The sequence below is a fragment of the Homo sapiens genome, chromosome 4 (assembly GCF_000001405.40).
Source record: "Homo sapiens chromosome 4, GRCh38.p14 Primary Assembly".
NCBI lineage: Eukaryota > Metazoa > Chordata > Mammalia > Primates > Hominidae > Homo > Homo sapiens.
In genome coordinates, this window is record NC_000004.12 from 178913886 (window position 1) to 178920314 (window position 6429).

At 28.6% G+C, this 6429-nt stretch overlaps 1 annotated feature.

Annotated features, from left to right (window-relative positions):
* Nucleotides 3748–4307: an enhancer, noted in NCBI's record as "OCT4-NANOG hESC enhancer chr4:179838787-179839346 (GRCh37/hg19 assembly coordinates)". NCBI's record gives its function as "activates a minimal SCP1, AML or CMV promoter by ChIP-STARR-seq in primed H9 embryonic stem cells {active_cell/tissue: H9 hESC(primed)}" and the evidence as "EXISTENCE:reporter gene assay evidence [ECO:0000049][PMID:30033119]".

The window sequence follows — 6429 nt, forward strand, 5'->3', positions numbered from 1 at the left end:
ACCATACATACAAATCCTAGGAATTTGAGTCTCTGTTTTATTTTTTGAATTAGAGCCTTTGTTTTATTGTTGAATTTATAAATATAACAACTTGTCTGAGCTTAACACTTTTACTTATTGAAACTACATTAATAAAACATTTATAGCACTTGGGAAGGAAGCACTGTGTGAAATTACCATTTACCTTAATTTTAAGTATAAAAATACAATCATGTTAATAACTTGTACTTTGCAGTAAGTGTGATATGCCAATATCAAAATTAGTACATTGTGTCAAAAAGAAAATGTATTCACTGCCAGCTTAAGAGCCTACAGGAAGGGAGAAGAAAACATTTTTACATAAGATGCTATGTAAAGCCATTTTCCACTGTCTGAATCATAAATCACAGGACTAACCTAAAATAAAGAAATAGATTTGATTAGCATTAAGGGATCACTACATCAAGTTATTAAAATTTTGCAAAGTGCCAGGTTGTATATGGATTAATTTTAGCTATTCTAAGACTTATGAGTTATGCTTGAAAAATTAAATCTAAAAATGTATTTTAAAAAGTATGCAGGAAATTTTCAGGGTTACATGGTATTAACCACTAGTGCTAATTAGAAAAATGAGATATTGGCCTTCTTACTAGTTATACATGACCCTATAAGAAAATCATCGAAATATGCACAAATATATTAAATAAATGTTCTGTTATAAATACTATAATCCTAAGTAATGACAGATTAATAAATGCTATAATCCTAAGTAATTACAGATTTTCAACTTTATATATTTTAGACTTATTATTAAAGTATAATACACATGTAGGAAAGCACACATGTACATGTATATAAATAAATATGTAGTCCTTCAAAATTACAAAATTTCCATGGTTAATGATAAAAACTTATTTAAAATATTATGATGTAATTTAAGTATATATTCATTCCTTATTAACATAGAAGATACATATTCTCTTTTGTTCATGAAAAATTTACCTAAATAAAAATATAAAGTAAAAACAGATTATAGTTAATAATGTGTAAAACTTAAAAAATAGTAATTTTTAAATATCTTGATAATAATTACTTTTATAAGTAAACTATATACACATAGATTTCAGTTTTTCCACACAGCCTTCAAGTGGACCTCATTGTGTAACATGGACCCATATGAGAGACCATGATGTGTGTATGTCTGACTAGCAAGATTCTTTTCAGTTTATTGTCTTTTTGAAGTTTGTTGTATTGCGTTTCACATCTGTCAAGACATCTGTATCCTCCAGTTGATATTCTGAATTTATAGTTCTGTAGTTACAGAATTTCTTTTTTATTTTAATGGCATTATCATCATTAATACTCCTGTAAGGAAATATTCCACTTGTTGTTTTTCAAAAGAACATATGTTCTCATACATATTTTCATAAACAACTTACTTTATTAAACTTCTGTTTTTGTTTCACTGAGAAAATCATTATTTGAAATTCTTACCATCATGCTGGAAAATCTTTTGTACAATACAGCTGTTGAAGTGACAACTTCATATTCACAAGTGTTTGTAATTCCTATAAAATAAGGAGGAATGATCCATGTTTGATTAATGTTGTAATATAAAGCTACCTGTAAGAAACAATATAAAGGACATTTTGATATTTGCCAAAATTGTACTGTTTAAATTTCTTTTAAATACCCTAAGCTTGTCATTTTAAAATAATTAAGAAAAGATTGAAAATTTATTTTGCCATTATTTATTTCTTCCTCATTTGTATATTAATTATAAGAAATTACAACATCTTAATTAAAATATTACGTATCTACTAAGTACTAACTCTTCATGTAGAGTATATTGGCACATATTCATTTTCTCATTTTTGCAATTAGATATTTTCCATTATATAATTTTTTTTAAATGCATAACCAAAACAAAATATTCTGTATAACAATTATATCTGATGAAGTCAGCTTATAATTGTTTTTAACAATAATATATTTGGATTTGACACATAATGTTTAGTTTTTATAGCTAAACATTAGTATTTTAAAGTTTAAGATATATTAATATTTTAATTTTCACTGCTATTTTCCTTGAATAATAACATCCATTACCTTAGATGTTACCAACTATTACCATCAACCAGTGCTTCTGCAGTATAACAGTATTATAGCAGTTTCAATTCAAAGTAAAGCTAATGTTCTATCAATCAAAGGAGATGCTGTAAAAAACTAACATTTGTTTATACTCATCACAGAAAATATAATCAGTAGAGTTTAATATGTTATTAAATTCTTATTCTTTGAACACAAGTAATCTATGCATTATGTACACTGAACCTTCCAATTAACTCTCATATTTGATTTATCACAGAGCTCAGTAGTTTAACTCTTTTGCTTATAACTCACTGCAAATAAATGTCTTTTGACATTAACAGAGACCATGGATTGTGTATAAGAAATGAACACACATGGTCTATTTTTGTTTTGTTTAAATCCTTTTCCTCCTATTGTCATTCTTTATTTTGTCAACTTTTTTATTACACTGGTAGCTACTATCTTTTGAATGTATTTCACACATCTTAATTTGTAAGGGGTAGCAAACCTCATTAATTACATTAAATAGTTAAATAATAAAACTGATATTTGTTAAACACTGCTATATACTGGGGACTGTGTTGGATTACTTATTCTCCCATTAAATTAATTAATATTTTTTAAAATCCGGGAAGTTTTGACTGTAATTGAGAGTTGAGAGTCACGTGGGTTTACCATGGCTTCCTTTGCACCATGATGATCATTGAGAGAGTAACAGTGATATTAGAACAAAGAAAATCTAAGTGAAGTGATATGATACAGAAACGCGTCATGTAATTTTGAAAGGGATGGATACTATGCATTATATTATATAGTGAGCTGAAGTACATAAATTTTAAACTAAGAAAATGGAATGCCTTGGACAATGACACTAAACATCGGCTGAGTGAGAATAAGTGGCCTACCCTGTAGTGTATGTGGCCGTAAAATTGATTTTTCCATTTTGTGCAAAAGCTTATCACTAAGCATGAGTTTCAGGGACAAAACTATAAGTAATAACATTGGAGCATTAATCTGCTATCATTCTTTTTATAGAGAGCTGATAGAATTGGCCATATTTTGGTATTTCTACTAAAATATAATTTCTGCTGATAAAACTATAACTATTCACCATTGTAAAATTCCAATTAGAAAGATTTTATGTTAGAAAACATATGCTAGAAATAAATATAAATAATGTCTAGAAATATGTAGAACGTTATCTATGCAGAAATATGTATATAGAGAGTATACAGTTGCCCCTTGAACAACATGAATTTGAACTGTGCACATTCACTTATACATGAGTTTTCTTCTGCCTCTGCCACCCCTGAGACAGCAAGACCAACCCCACTTCCTCTTTTCCCTCATCCTACTCAGTGTGAAGATGATGAGGGTGAACCCCTTTATATAAACCACTTCCATCGAATGAATATTCAATGTATTTTCTCTTTCTTGTGATTTTCTTAGTAACATACATACACACACATAATAATATACATACACACACATTTCTAAACACTGAAGAAAAGATCAAGCCCATTTCGTTATAATTGGATTTCTTTCCTAATTACATAATAAAATAAAGGCTAGTGATTTGATGTAGCATTCACCAAATTATTATTTGAAGCAATGGAAAGTACAGTTATGAAAATACAGTTTTAGCACATTTCTTAGTGAGAGAAAAATCAGAATAACATGCAAGGATAATGAAAAGAGGATTACCATTAATGAAAATGAATTTATAACAATACTTTTTAATTTAGTGTGAGATCCCTAAAATTGTGTGGCTACTAAAAACATGACTGGTGAAAATGTTGATGAGGAGTTTTTTAGGTTTTGGGAGAGAATGCTTTACCAATTGAAAATTCTACAGTTTGGATATTTGTTCCCAAAACCTTAGGTTGAAATTTGATCCCGGGTGTTGGAGGTGGAACCTTGTGGGAGGTTTGTGACAGATCCCCCATGAATAGCTTGATGCCTTTCTCACAGTAAGAGGTGTGTTCTCATTCTATCACTTCCCTTGAGAACAGGTTGTTAAAGAGAGCCTGGCACCTCCCTGCTCTCTCTCTCTCTTGCTTTCTCTCTCACCATATGATCTCTGCACATGCTGGCTTAAACATCCTGCCATGAGTGAGAGCAACCTGAGGCTTTCACCTGATGTCCAATCTTCTAGCCTATAGAATACAGAAAAGCCAAATAAACTTTTCTTTGTAAATTAACTAGCCTCAGGTATTTTTTTTTATAGCAGCACTAAACATACTAAGACAGAAAGCAACGGAAAGACCGATTAGTTTTGAAATTTGTTACCAGATGTTTATAACATTATAAACATAGAATCTAAGAATTAAGATATTCTATTAACTCAGGTATTCCTTCAAATATTGCCACAACTTAAAATTCTATTTGATTTGTTTCCCATGTACTGAGGCTGAACCATTCACACACCCACCCACCCACACACACACTCACCAACGTGCCTACACACACACACACATACTTTATAATGTATTATGGCTATAAAATATGGCTAGAAGTCACCTAAACCTTACAATGCAAATTTATTTACAAAAATTCATCAAACAATAAGTAATTACTAAGAAAATCAGAAAATTTCTGTTTGTATAAGACTTTTACAAAAAGCATTTATACATTAAGAATTAAAAAAGTAATTTTCAACTAAAACATTTAACCACATATTCAAAAATTAAAAAGCTTGACTTTGTATTTATATTATAATTGTACTAAGTATGAGAAATTATCATTGTGTTGTTAATTTGCAGTATTTAGGTGATTTCTGTAGGGACTTGTAGTAGAAAAAGCTTAAAGATACTACTACTATTGTCAGTGCTGGTTTTGACAAGTCAACGTGGATGTCTCTCCATCCCTCTATGAATTCTAGGGATTAATATAGGGCTTTGGTTCCCTTCTTGTCAATCAGTTTCTCATCTTTCTCTATCAATAAGTTCAACTTTATTAAGAAATAGATTTGTTTCCTAAAACATGTGCCCTTTTGGGATTTTAATTATTTGTCTTATTTCATTTCTGTCAATTCTCTTCAATCTTCATTGTTGACCATTTTTTTTAACACTAATTAGGTCCATAGATTGTATAGAAATAGTTTATATTGCATATAGTTTTTAAAATATTTGACACTTTCTCCTGAACACATTTCTGAAAATATTGATTTCAATATAGTCCAGAGAACTCATTTCACTTGCCAGCCAAGTATATTATTTAAGAATTCAATATTTTCTACTCTTGTATTTACACAAAGTATATCTTAGAAAACATCAAAAGTCTGATTATTATGGGCACTCATCTCTAAAGAAGGCTCAGATCTAGAATTATTTATTTTATTATATTCAATTCCTAAGTTCCAAAAATTAAAACTGAATTAGTTCTTAAATTATAAAATAAAATAGATTTATTTTCAATTGGGAATAATGTTCTGAACCTCAAATATTTTGCTTTATTTGATATTGTGATTAAATAATAGTCACTGAGTTAGTTTTTAATGTATGTATGAATATCTTGATACCTATTTTTATATTTAAAAAATACATTATTTTTATAAATATTGTTAACTCATTTTTTCTTTCATTTACCAAATATTTATTGACCACTTATAATGTACCAGTTATTTTTTCTCTGTATAGAGGTAATAGCAGTAAATAAGATAAGCCTTGCTACTTTCATATTTTTCCTATGAAGTTTTAAATATTTTATGATTAGTACATTTTTGTATTATATTACTCTTATTACAGTCAAGGTTAACTTAGGGTAATTATACATAAATTTCTATTTTTTTAACTTATATTTCTGTTTCCTTTAAATGTATTCTCTTTCACAATACATCTTTTAAAAATGTATACCAAATGAATGTAGTTTTCAAAGCCAAGCAAAGAACAACCTCATTGCATATACCTACAAAATTAATAGTGGCACAAAAATTATGCGCAGCCAGCAAAACTAGCAAAATTAATGTGCTGATTCTGACCAGATTTGCAGAAATGCAAATATTGCAGTTTTCATCTCATATAGTTTGAAGAGATAAACTTTAAGAGCAACTTTTTTTCTTTATAAAGTAATAATAAGTTTAAATAATTTTTGATACCAAAATATTTATAATGGCAAAATATGAAGACACTATTTGTCTGAGCCTTAGTGTCTCCCTCAGGAACAGATACTTTCCCAAATCTGTTTGAATAGGAAAAAATATATATGTATATATTTATTTATTTGTTTATAGGACTTTATTGTCCACATTATTTATTTACGAATACTACTGAACTTATAAGTAGGAGCATGTAGTTTTCAACAATTCATTTAACAGTTTAACTACTTATCTCTAATTACTATATGTTTGTGTATGTAACG